Source organism: Homo sapiens, chromosome 16 (assembly GCF_000001405.40).
Source record: "Homo sapiens chromosome 16, GRCh38.p14 Primary Assembly".
Lineage (NCBI taxonomy): Eukaryota > Metazoa > Chordata > Mammalia > Primates > Hominidae > Homo > Homo sapiens.
This window is the reverse complement of record NC_000016.10, coordinates 14875442-14887808: the sequence shown is the minus strand read 5'-3', so window position 1 is coordinate 14887808 and position 12367 is coordinate 14875442. Positions and strand designations below refer to the sequence as shown.

General features: G+C 45.3%; 1 protein-coding gene across 1 annotated transcript in view; it reads right to left on the bottom strand.

The window, feature by feature from the left end:
- Positions 1 to 12367, bottom strand: part of NOMO1 (NODAL modulator 1) — a 62437-nt gene that overhangs the window by 8349 nt on the left and 41721 nt on the right. Inside the window, exons 21-28 of the mRNA NM_014287.4 lie at positions 11291 to 11450; positions 11019 to 11145; positions 8975 to 9088; positions 7667 to 7794; positions 6124 to 6265; positions 5132 to 5215; positions 3327 to 3437; positions 947 to 1048 (exon numbers count right to left, since the gene is read on the bottom strand). Of these exons, the coding sequence (NP_055102.3) occupies positions 947 to 1048; positions 3327 to 3437; positions 5132 to 5215; positions 6124 to 6265; positions 7667 to 7794; positions 8975 to 9088; positions 11019 to 11145; positions 11291 to 11450 (968 nt within the window). The remainder of the gene's footprint in view (positions 1 to 946; positions 1049 to 3326; positions 3438 to 5131; positions 5216 to 6123; positions 6266 to 7666; positions 7795 to 8974; positions 9089 to 11018; positions 11146 to 11290; positions 11451 to 12367) is intronic.

The window sequence follows — 12367 nt, the reverse complement described above, 5'->3', positions numbered from 1 at the left end:
TCCTTAAACTCAATAGCAGAATGTTAAATAGAGGAATTTTTAAAAATTACAAGGCATTTTTAAAAGTGGACTTCTTAGCAGGAAAGCATGGGGTGATATGTTCAAAGTGCAAGAGTCGATCATGCCCAACAGTAGGCCTTGGTTAAATAAATCATGGCGTTTCCTAGTTTATGGACTACTGTCCATAAAAATCATAGTATGAAAGATTTGGCCAGGCACGGGGGCTCACGCCTGTAATCTCAGCACTTTGGGAGGCCGAGGCAGGTGGATCACGAGGTCAGGAGATCAAGACCATCCTGGCTAACATGGTGAAACCCCGTCTCTACTAAAAATAAAAAAAAAAAAGAATTAGCCGGGTGTGGTGGCACACGCCTGTAGTCCCAGCTACTTCGGAGGCTGAGGCAGGAGAATGGTGTGAACCCAGGAGGCGGAGCTTGCAGTGAGCCCAGATTGCGCCACTGCACTCCAGCCTGGGCGACAAGGCGAGACTCCGTCTCAAAAAAAAAAAAAAGAAAGATTTGATGATGAGGAACAGATTTGTGATAAATTCTTCATTGAAAAGCACGGATTACAAAACAATGTACAAAACAGTGTCAGTTTTGAATTATTAAAATAAATGTCTATTTATATTTATACATGCATGCGCACACGTGCCTGAAAAAAGACCCAAAGGATACCAATCACCGTGTTAGCAGTGGCTATTTCTGGATGATGGGCTTATGTCTTCTTTTTCCCAAAATCTCCTGCCATGAATATGTATTCTTTTTGTAAACAGAAAAACAATGAAGAAAAAATAATCCCTACAGAACCCAACCTCTTTTGATTCAGAGAGCGTATTTCTGCAGAGTGGTATTTAGGGAGAAAAGGAGAGAACTGTGCTTCCTTAAACTAAACAGCAGAATTATTAAAACAAAGGCAGAAGGTAGAATCCGGCCACAGGCATTACCTCGCCGTCTCTGAGCAGTGGGGGGAAATGGAAGAACAGGGACTGGCCAAGGGAAACTGTCTGGATTGGATTGTCGAGGTTTTCGCTTTTGTAAAGCTTGACCTGGAGGGAGAAACAAAGTCAGACATGCTTTGAAACTGAAACACAATCAATATTTCATAGCAGACATCCTCAGGACAGCCGCTTTCTGGGTGGGTGTCTTTGGAAACATGGATATTTGAAAAAGAAAGCTCCCTCCATAGACATCACACATCCCTCTGTCATCTGAGACTCCATCCAGTTATGTATCATGCACAGAAATTAAGATTCAAATCAGATTCTGACTACCCATGTTCTTGCTCAAAATAGTAATATAAGTTAATATAATAGTAATATTAAAAATAGCTTCTAACACGTGTTGAACATCTGTAATATGCCAGGCAGGCGCCAGATATTTTATCTACATTATCGCCAATCCTGACTACAAAACAGGTATTGTTATTATCCCTATGGAGACCCAGAGAGCCAAAGTCACCTAAGGTCACACAACTTACACATGGTAGAGCCTGGGACTCAACCCCCTGACGACTCCTGAGGGTCCTTCCCGCCTTGCACTGCCTCATCATATGATGTCACCTTAACTCCACCAATCTGTTAAACTCAAAACGCATTCCATCATGTACGTGGCTCTCCACGCTGCTTCAGGAGGCACTGGAGTACTTTGTTTCTGGCTTTATTTCTGGGGTTCTTGCCTGTTCTCACTCCCACACGGCATGGGGCATGAGCAGGGTTAAGGTGCAGCCCTGGCTGATGGCAAAGGCTGTGAGGATGCCACAGTGCACCTGCCGCAAGAGAATGCCAGGACCACCTCCCTGGGCCCACACTGGCACCTTTCTACATAACACACAAGGGGAATTTTCCTAAAATGAAAGTCACAGACTGAAGGTTATGGGTCGCATTGAAGATCCCTTATGTGTTCTTTTTTCTTCTATAACATCTTAAGTAAATCTGAATTCACCGACTATATTTAAAAATCAGGTGATTTCAAATAATTCTAATTTCCAGCTTCTCCGGAAAACTGGGAAGTGACACCAACCCTGAGCCTCAATTCTAGCACAGCAACACTCAGGAGCAAGAGAGTGGCGCCCTCCCCTCCTCTCTGCCTCTTCCCCTCCCCTGTGCCACTCATGGATGGGGCAGGAGTTCCCCAGTTTGCCCCCCACCCTACCCAACCCTCTGCACTCTCTGACATTACCTGCCTGGTCCCTACAAGCACACGCCTGCAAGCCCTGAACAGAGTGGACTAAAGCGCACACACACTTTCTCACCCATGCCAAATACTTAACTGCTTATAAAATTACAAGTGCATCTTAACAATGTACCCCCAGAGCAAATCACTAACATCCGTAGAGGGTCTGCAGGGTATTTTATAAACATTTCTTCATTAATGGTAACATGGAGATTTTGTTAGAGCTGAACAAGATTATAAGAGGTCTCTGAGTCCAAAATCTAGGTTTTGCAGAGGACGAAGTCGAGGCATGTGGAAATGAAGTGACTGGCCCAGGCAGCAAGGTGAGTCACTACTGGAGACAAGAGAAAGCCCAGACCACCTGCTCTCCAGCCCACCGTCCACCACCTCTGATACTGTTTGGATATTTGTCCCTGCCCAAATCTCATGTTGAATTGTAATCCCCCGTGCCGGAGGTAGGGCCTGGTGGGAGATGATCGGATCTTTGGGGTGGATCCCTCGTGGCTTGGTGCTGTCTTCGTTATGAGTCCTGTGAGATCTGATCATTTAAAAGTGTGTGGCACCATGCCCCAACTCTCTCTTTTGCTCCAGCTTCTCCCACATGACATGCCTGCTCCCACTTCACCTTCTGCCATGATTGGAAGCCTCCTGAGGCCTCCCCAGAAGCAGACACCACTATGCTTCCTGTACAACCTACAGAACGAGGAGCCAATGAAACCTCTTTTGTTATAAATTATCTAGCCTCAGGCATTTCTTTAAACCAATGCAAGAACATTTAATACGACCTCCACTCCAGAGAAAATTTTAAGTTACAAGGCGCTTTCTTTAAAATTGGCTTTCCACGTTAGATTCCATATTGTATTGATCATTGATCAGGCTTCTACTATAATTCTTTGGAAGATTAACTGATGGCAGACAGTTATCTGAAACTGGACCACATTCTCTCCCACAACTGGCAATCACTCTCCCAAATACGTGTTGTGGTCCAAGGTTCTTAAATCTCAACCTCAACCCTCAGCAGGCGGCGCTCTGGAGCACCTCCACCTGTCACACCTAAGGCACGAGACAGGCACAAACCCAAAAACATCCCATTCGTACTTGTCTCAAAGCCAAAGGGAACACAATACTTGGAGCTTAAAAGTCTGGACTTACCCATAATGTAGGAAGGTATTCAGAGGAAGTGATCACATTTCCACTTAAATCAAATTGATTAATCTGCCGGAAAACTATGATGTTTACATCATCGATGTCATTATTCCCAACCTAGAGAGAGAAAGAGGGAATACCAGTAATGAGAAAGCTGGTGGAGGAACTTCTATGCCAGCTGTCCGATGGCCTGAGAGCTGCTTCATGGCAAACTTTGCTTCTTACATTAAGGAAGCGAAGTTTGTCATTGAGTACCCTACGTCCAAGGTCACAAACTGACAGAAGATGGCTATCCCTGGCCCATAGACACATTTCATTTCGAAAGCACAGTATTTTTTTTCTACGTTTGAATTACTTGCCAACATGTTAAAAATTAGGAAATTTCATATATGAAGCCAGATTTTCCAGCTTCTCTTAAAAAAAAAAGGAGAAGGATGCTCTTGCCTGTTAGAGCAGGGGCATGTCCCTGGCCCATAGACACATTTCATTTCGAAAGCACAGTATTTTTTTTCTACGTTTGAATTACTTGCCAACATGTTAAAAATTAAGAAATTTCATATATGAAGCCAGATTTTCCAGCTTCTCTTAAAAAAAAAAGGAGAAGGATGCTCTTGCCTGTTAGAGCAGGGGCAGAGTCACAGCACCCCCTCTGCGTGAGGTCTGTACATGGAGTTTGCGAGATCCCAGAGGGCCGGCCCCCTTCCCTTTCATACCTGCCCGGCCACAGTCCACATTATGCTAGTGATCCTGGCCTAAGTTACTACACCGAGAACATGCAAAGCATTTTGGTGTGAGATGCAGTCATCCCAGCCATTTAAAATGCCAACACCGTAAAGACGTCAAGGAAATCCACTTCCGGCCCAGTGCGGTGGCTCATGCCTGTAATCCCAGCACTTTGGGAGGCCGAAGCGAGCAGATCACCTGAGGTCAGGAGTTCAAGACCAATCTGGCCAACATGGTGAAACCCCGTCTCTACTAAAAATACAAAAATTAGCCGGGTGTGATGGTGTGTGCCTGTAGTCCCAGCTACAGGCTGAGGTGGGAAAATCACTTGAACCCACAAGGAGGAGGTTGCAGTGAGCCGAGATCACGGCACTGCACTCCATCCTGCGTGACAGGGTGAGACTCCGTCTCAAAAAAAAAAAAAAAGAAAAAGAAAAGAAAATCCACTTCCTAGGTCAAAAGTTCTATCCTCCCTCACAATCTTCATGCATAATGAAGCCACCTAAATAAAGCCACTAAGAGGCAGCCCCTCTTACCCTACCTAAGCCCTCTAGTCTTCCCAATGAGAGTTACTCAGTAAGAGAAAAGCCTTACTTCAAATGATTCCCAGGCCACATTCTGTGACTCGAAGGATGTCCTCTTTAGGGATTAATTTAGCTAGGTCATGATCTTGAGTATCAAAAGACTCTGCCCACAAAATGGGAGCAGGAAAAAGGTCATCTGAACCTAAGATAACTGCGTGGCCCTGCCACCCATTAAGCCCATGTTCTATTATTGTCCCTTGATTTGAAATGCTGCTTAGGCCTTAAGTTCCTTAACTTGCAGAATAATGATCAGAGCTTACAGGGCAAGTCGCGGGGAGGATACAACAGTTCCAATTTCCTTTCTGGATGCATGACAGCAACGCTGTTCATTAAAAACCCACATAAGATGCTGCTTGTGAAGATGACACTATTCTAAGAGGACCCTTAATTAGGATGAAAGTTCCCCCCGCCACAGATGAAAGGCAGACAGCCAGAGGAGACGGGAGGACTTCTGATCAGGGAGGCACCCACACCCAGGTGCAGCGGCAGCACTGAATGCCTTACCTCAATCACCCTATGGTGGGGGAGCGCCCGCTCAATGTGGTCGTTGCCTTCTGCCTTGAGCTGAACGTGGTACACACATCCCGGCTGCAAAAAAACTCAGGAGTCAGCTCTCTAGAAAGGGGGCTTGTCGTATCGTGCCTGGTCCAAGCCTGGTTTGGCTGCACGAGATCATTAAGACAGGAGCATTTCTCTCCCCTCATTTCCTAATCTGTGGCCTGTTAACCTTAAGAGTCCAGAGTTCCTTTAAGAACACCCCTAGTGTTGAAACATCTGAAATTTTGCGACTCCTTCCATCCCAACTCAGTTTCATTTTCTCCTACCCCAAAATAAATCAAATTTGGTTTCTTATTTCAAAATTCCAAGCATACTATGTGCTCTTACTCTTCTAAGATGTTTTTCCTCTCCATCCACCCCTCCCCTCTACCCGTATATACACATTGATGGATATCTGGAATGTCCACCATAAGCATTCCCAAATGCTTGTGTTGGGTATTATTTCTGGGAAGTGGGAATTTCTGACTTCTCTTTTTAAAATTTCAAGGATCTGGCAACCCTGACTCTGTCTTCCCCCATGGCTACAATAAGCTGGAACCAAGTGACAGGCTGTCCCTTTCCACAGGCCGTGCCCACTCCACAGCCCTCACCACTCCCTATCATTTCGCACAGCCTCCTCTCCCCCGTTCATACTGCTCTTCTGGCTCCATAGGCGTTTGGCTTGAGCCCTGGCGTAAGCCATGGCCACACACTGCTAGGGAAAAGCCCTACCAAACCCATGGTTTTCCAACTCCATTGTGCCACAGATCCTTGATCTGACCTGTTGGCTAGAAAAAAGGCAAACTCTACCAATTAAAGGTAAGAACTGGGAGGGCTCCAGAGCCCCACCCCCAGCCCTCTCGCCCAACCCACTCCTAGCAGTCTTGGGGCCACCACAAGATACTTCTGGACACAGGATGAAAAAAAAGTCCCCAAAGAAAACCCATTCCAAGTCTCACCAGCAATCCACGTAATCTGAACTTGCCCTCTTCGTCTGTCACGGTGTCTTCTCCGTAAATGCTGCAGTCGTTCTGGCCCACCGCTTCCATGGCAACCCCTTGTTCGGGCTCTCCGTTTAAGGAAGACACTGTGCCATAGCAACTAGTATGGCAAGAACAGGCACGAATGAGATATTCTCATGGTTATCTGAAGGACCCAAGTGTTTCCCGTTTACCAACAATTATGGGGCAAAATAGTTCAGGGGATAACTGTGCCTCAATGACCCAGGCAACTCAGTGTGGCCGGCCCACTTCCAAACCACACCTTCCTGCCGGAGGGATAAGCTGCCATCAATTTCTTTTCTCATACATTTTGAGGGATGCTCTGGAAAATTGTAATTTAAGAAGGCTAAAGCTTTATTTTATTCTTTCTAGGCTTTATTTGAAATAATGGAGCTTTCAATAACATGGAAATAACTCACTTCCTCTTTCACTCCATATATTCAGTAGAAAATGGTCCATTTTTCTAAACCCAATCTTTCCAATTACTCTTCCTCTAAAGTGATTCTGTATAAGTCTACAAAAAATACACATATATGTGTGTATCTGTGTGTATACATGTATATATGTATGCATCTCTCTATCTATAGATGTGTATCTTTTTTATTTTGTATTTTTATTTTTTTGTAGAGACGGGGTCTTGCTATGTTGCCTAGGCTGGTCTTGAACTTCCAGACTCAAGAGAACTTCCCACTTCAGCCTCCAAAAGTGCTGGGATTATAGGTGTGAGCCACTGTGCCTTGCCAGACACTCATGTGTATCTATCTATCTACAGCTGGGAGCATTCAGAAAAACTGGAAGTACTGGTTGTCTCCCAGAAGAGGAACTTGGGTGGCTAGGAGACGAGACAGAGGGGAAATTTTACACTATACTCTTTTCAGCATTTTGAAGTTTTATTCAACTGAGCACATTTTCTCCTTTTAATAATTTAATTCAGGTTTGAAACTCTTTTAAAAAATAAAAGTGGCCAGGCGCGGTGGCTCACGCCTGTAATCCCAACACTTTGGGAGACCGAGGCAGGCAGATCATCTGAGATCAGGAGTCCGAGACCAACCTGGCCAACAAAGTGAAATCTTGTCTCTACTAAAAATAGAAAAATTAGCCATGCATGGTGGCAGTCCCAGCTACTTGGGAGGCCAGGACAAGAGAATTGCTGGAACCCAGGAGGCAGAGGTTGCAGTGAGCCAAGGCTGCGCCATTGTACTCCAGCCTGGGCAAGAAGAATGAAACCCCGTCTCAAAAAATAAAAAATAAATAAAAGCTTTTAGCAACTCAATAGGCTCTCTCAAGCCAATTCCAAAATAGGAAATTTGAGACTGAACCACCAGGTTGAGCTCCTAGGAGAGAAGGGCAGCAGTCAAAACTCCTTTGCCCTCATATCTCATCTCCCTTCCCTCCCAAGTAAAATCAGTGTGAAGCCTGGGATGCGTTTCCAGGCAACAGAGGCCTGAATGTGATTCACCAGCCCAGCCCTGGAAGAGAGTGGGGTGGCCAGGGCACTTACCTGTAAGCGGTTCGGTACCCCGTGATGGTGATCTTCAGGTTCTGGCCTTCCTGCACCTCGATCATCTGTGAGGATGGCTCAAACCGGAACTCCTTCATCATGGGTTTGAAGTAATACTGGCCAGGGCTCTACCAAGATAATCACACTGAGCCTCAGCAGCCACATCTAGGCATGGCTTAAAAGTGAGGGGCGAATGTCACGATGGACCAGAATTACACCAGGGGAGCGCCATGGCTTCCCTGGCAGCCAGAAATAGTAACCCTCTCTCTATAATCACCACTCACAGTCAGGTAGTGGCAATCACAACTCTAACAACGGCAGCTGATGGTATCACCTGCCTGCAATGACTCAGAGAGGTAGAAGTCATATTTAATTTTTCTTTTCTTTTTTTTTTTTTTTTTTCTGAGACAGGGCCTGACTCTGTCCCCCAGGATGGAGTGCACGATCACAGCACACCGTAGTCTCAACCTTCTGGGCTCAAGCAAATCTCCCACCTCGGCCTCCTGAGTACCTGGGACCACAGGCATGCACCACCATGCCCAGCTAATTTTTTTATTTTTTGTAGAGATGGGGTCTTCCTATGTTGCTGGTCTCAAACTCCCAAGCTCAAGCGATCCTACTGCCTCACCCTCCCAAAGCGGTGGGATTACAGGCGTGGGCCACCATACCTGGCTCATATTTGAATTTAATGAATAAAGAAACTGAGGCTCAGAGAGGCAAAGTAACTTGCCTGATAGGACACAGCAAGTAAGGAGCAGTCTGCATCACTGCAAAGTGGTGTCTTCAGATGCCCCCGCTGCCCGGTCTCCAGTAGCCCCACCACAGCCACTTTGTCACCATGACTGACAAGATGACCAACTAACACACACTTCCTGAATCCCCACCAGTCAGGGCCTCCGACTGCATCTTGAAAGAAAAACTGCTGCTCTCTTCCCACCAAGTGGAATGTCTTTTCAGAAGAAACGCAAGCTAACCACCAAACAAGACTCAGCATCATAAGCATGATTCCGTGGCAAAACGAGAAGATGCCTAAGAGAGCAGCCGTTGTGGCCAGGGAAATTAATTACACTGTCTTAGTGACAAGTGGGTGATCAGAAAACAAGAAGCGCGTGTGGAAGGGAACATGAATCAGCAGCATTAAGTTCGAGTAAGAGCAATACTCTAATGACCGTGGGCCCCCAAGAAACTGAAACCACTCCACATTGGCTTTCTCTTCTCACGTTGTCAAGCAACACGTAAGTCTCGCATGCTGCATCCTGGCTCTCTCTCAGGGAAGACAGGCAGGTGGTAAATTGCAGAACACGTTACCAGGTTTGAGAATGTCAGAATGCCGTTGTCCTGGGTCAAGAGGTTGGAACGAAACAGGCCACCGCTCAGGGATAAGAGGACTCCCGGGAGGGGCTGGTCATCCTCAGCTTTTATCTGGGGATGAGAAGGTGAGACCAGAGCAAGGTTAAACTCCTACTAACTATGAAAATAACAGTTCCACAAGTCAAGAGGTCATTTTTTCAAGGTTTTTTTCTTTTATTGTTACTCAAAGGAGGACAGGGGACCTAATCTTCCTCCCCACAGGTAACTACTGTTGTAAGTTTTGTAAGTTTGGTGTGTAGCCTTCTAGAACTTTTTTTTTTTTTTTTTTTTTTTTTTTTGAGACAGGGTCTTGCTCTGTCACCCAGGCTGGAGTGCAGTGGCACAACCTGGGCTCACTACAACCTTCGCCTCCCAAGCTCAAGCAATCCTTCAGCTTTAACCTCCTGAGGAGATGGGACTATAGGCGCACACCACCATGCCCAACTACATTTCTGTATTTTTTATAGAGACGGGTCTTGCCACGTTGCCCAGGCTGATCTCAAACTACTGGGCTCAAGCAATCCACATGCCTGGGCCTCCCAAAGTGCTGGGATTAGAGGCATGAGCCACCGTGCCCCGCCCAGAACTCTTTCTATGCCCACACAAATTTTATAAACATTACATATTATTGTTCACAGACTGGCAAGTTCATTGAGTGGGTGGAGGAGGTGAAATAAAAATGGCATGTTATATGTACAGTTCTTGCTCTCTTCCTCAACAATTTATCCTGGTTCTCTTCTGCCAGCCAATAGAAATCTGCCTGTTTCTTAACTACTGCATAGCATTCTAAGGCAGGGTTTGACAAACCACAGCACCTACTCTTGTGGTACACAAGAGACAATTGGAATATCCCCAAATATGTATCTCTAGGCACTTAATTTTTATTTCCTGAACAATCCATTCCTAGAAGTAGAATTGTTGGATACATGCACTTTAAATTCAGAAAGATACTATCTAATTGCATTCCAAAGTGGCTGTAACCACTTACAGTCCCATAAATTATTTATGCTTGGGAAAACCCACACTTACCAAAAAATAGAGATTGTCTTAATTACAGCAAATCTAATCCCTGCAAAACAGTGTTTCGACTGTAACTTCCTTAGCACATTTCCTCAGTAACTACAGAGGCTTTGTGTTTCTGTGTTTATTAGTCACCTGCGTTACTTGCATGAATTTCCTTTTCATAATCTTTGTTCATTTTTTTTCTAGCGGGTTGTCTTTTTCTTACCAATCTTAGGAGCTCCTTGTAAAATGGGGATATTATTTATGATACAAACATTTCTTCCGAGTTTGAATATCTTTCAGTTTGGTTCCAAATGTATTCAGCAATATAGAATTTTAAATTTTTATGCGATGTAATCTGTCACTCTTTTCCTTTGGCCTATAGTTTATAAATATTCATTCTCAACGATCTCCAGACCCACTCTGTACAATCGCAGCACGCTTCTTCCCAGAAAGGACCGGTGGAAGGGAGCTAGGCAGCAAACGCCTCAGTAAGAACATTCTGTGTCCTTCAAAATGGAACAGTTATGGATGACAGCTTTAACTACTTCCCAGAAGGTACACAAACATGCTAAAGTCAACAGCTCTCCAAATTATGCTACGTGAAAGAAGTCAGACCAAAAAAAAAAAAAAAACAACAGTATATCCCGTTTGATTCCATTTATATACAGGTTGGTGCAAAAGTGATTGCGGTTTCTGCCATTATTCTCAATGGCAAAAACCACAATCACTTTTGCACCAACCTATAAAAACTCGAAAATGCAAACTAACCAATGGTGATGAAAAGCAGATCATCAGCTCAGCGGAAGGGTGGCAGGGAGGGATTACCAAGGGGCAAGAGGAAACCTTGAGGGCCACAGATGTGCTATTTTAATTGTGGAGGTGTTTTCATGGGTGTATTCCTAGGTCAAGACTACCACACTGTACCCTTTTTGTGCAGTTTATTATATGTTAATTATACCTCAGTATAACTGCCTTTTGAAAATACAGTGTTAGTTACCTCAAAGCTTACGCCTGCCAGGGCATAGGCCTTGAAGTCTCCGATGGTTCCTTCCACCGCAGTCAGAACATAGCCCTCCTTCTGTGAGGTCACCGTGTACTCCAGGTCACTGTGCAGGGGGCCAACACTGAAGAGGAGAGAGCAGAATGCTAGCAACGGCTTTGTTCACACCCTGCAGGAAGCCTTACCAAGCCCAAGGAAATGTGGGCCCCAGTTTCTTCAGAGGACTCCCACGCTGATCCCAGGCACATGTGTCTCTATCCCGGGCTCACCTGTAGGCACCTTTGTCATCAGTAAAGACTGTGATCAGCGGTGAACTTGCCCCCTTTTCACTGATGACAATCTCGACTCCTTCCAACTCGGGGTGGATCTGGCCTTCTAAAAACAGGCCTGCCTTCCCATGGATCTCGATCAGCTTCCCTGGGCAGCTTTCTAAGAGGGGAAGAAATAAACACAAGGATGGGGCTTGGTAGCAGAGACAGGAGCTTCTTGGTTGGGGGTTTCCCATGACAAAAGTGGCTAAAACAGATCTTAGAAGCTAGTTCCAAATGCGGTTATTTAACACCCCGGGGAGCTCAATAATCGGATACAGCCCAAGCCTCTTTCCATCCCTGAAAGGCCTTTCTCAGTGTGAAGGACTTTAGCAAGAGAATCAAAAAACGCTGAAGGCTGGGTTTTTACTACTAGTCTTCCTAGGTTCTCAGGAGGCCACAGATCAGGAGGGAACACTTTACAGCAGACAGGAGGCCGTGCTGCTCAGCCTCTGGAGGACCCACTGAGAAAGACCGCCCCAAACAGCCTGCCTGCTAGAAGTCACGCTCTTCAACACCCTCTGCTTCCAAACACGAACCACATAACACCCACAACTTAACGAAGCCAGAGTGCTGGGAAAAAAATAATAAGTGGCAAAAGACAAATACTCCACAAGTGATCACTTCAGTCATCCATTCCCCAAAAAAAGACCCTCCCATCATGCTCTGCCGAACAACAGAAAGATCATTAAAGATCATCACTGGCAGCTTTGTGCTTCATCTACCTTCTGGTGTCGACCTGATAATGTCAAAGAAAACCAAGTCCTTTTCCAAAAAGATCAACTCAATTCTAACAGCAAAAGTTACTTTTATTTATCTAAATCATTCATTCATTCATCCATCCATCCATCCATCCATCCATCCATCCATCCATCCAACCCAACCATCCATCCATCCATCCATCCATCCAACCAACAGTAACATCTGTGTGCCAGAGAGGATGTAAGGTGGCTTACAAAGATGGCTTCACTATAACATCACAAATCTACTTGTAAATGCAGGCAAGGGAACAACTGCAAAGGTGTGTGTGACATTCGC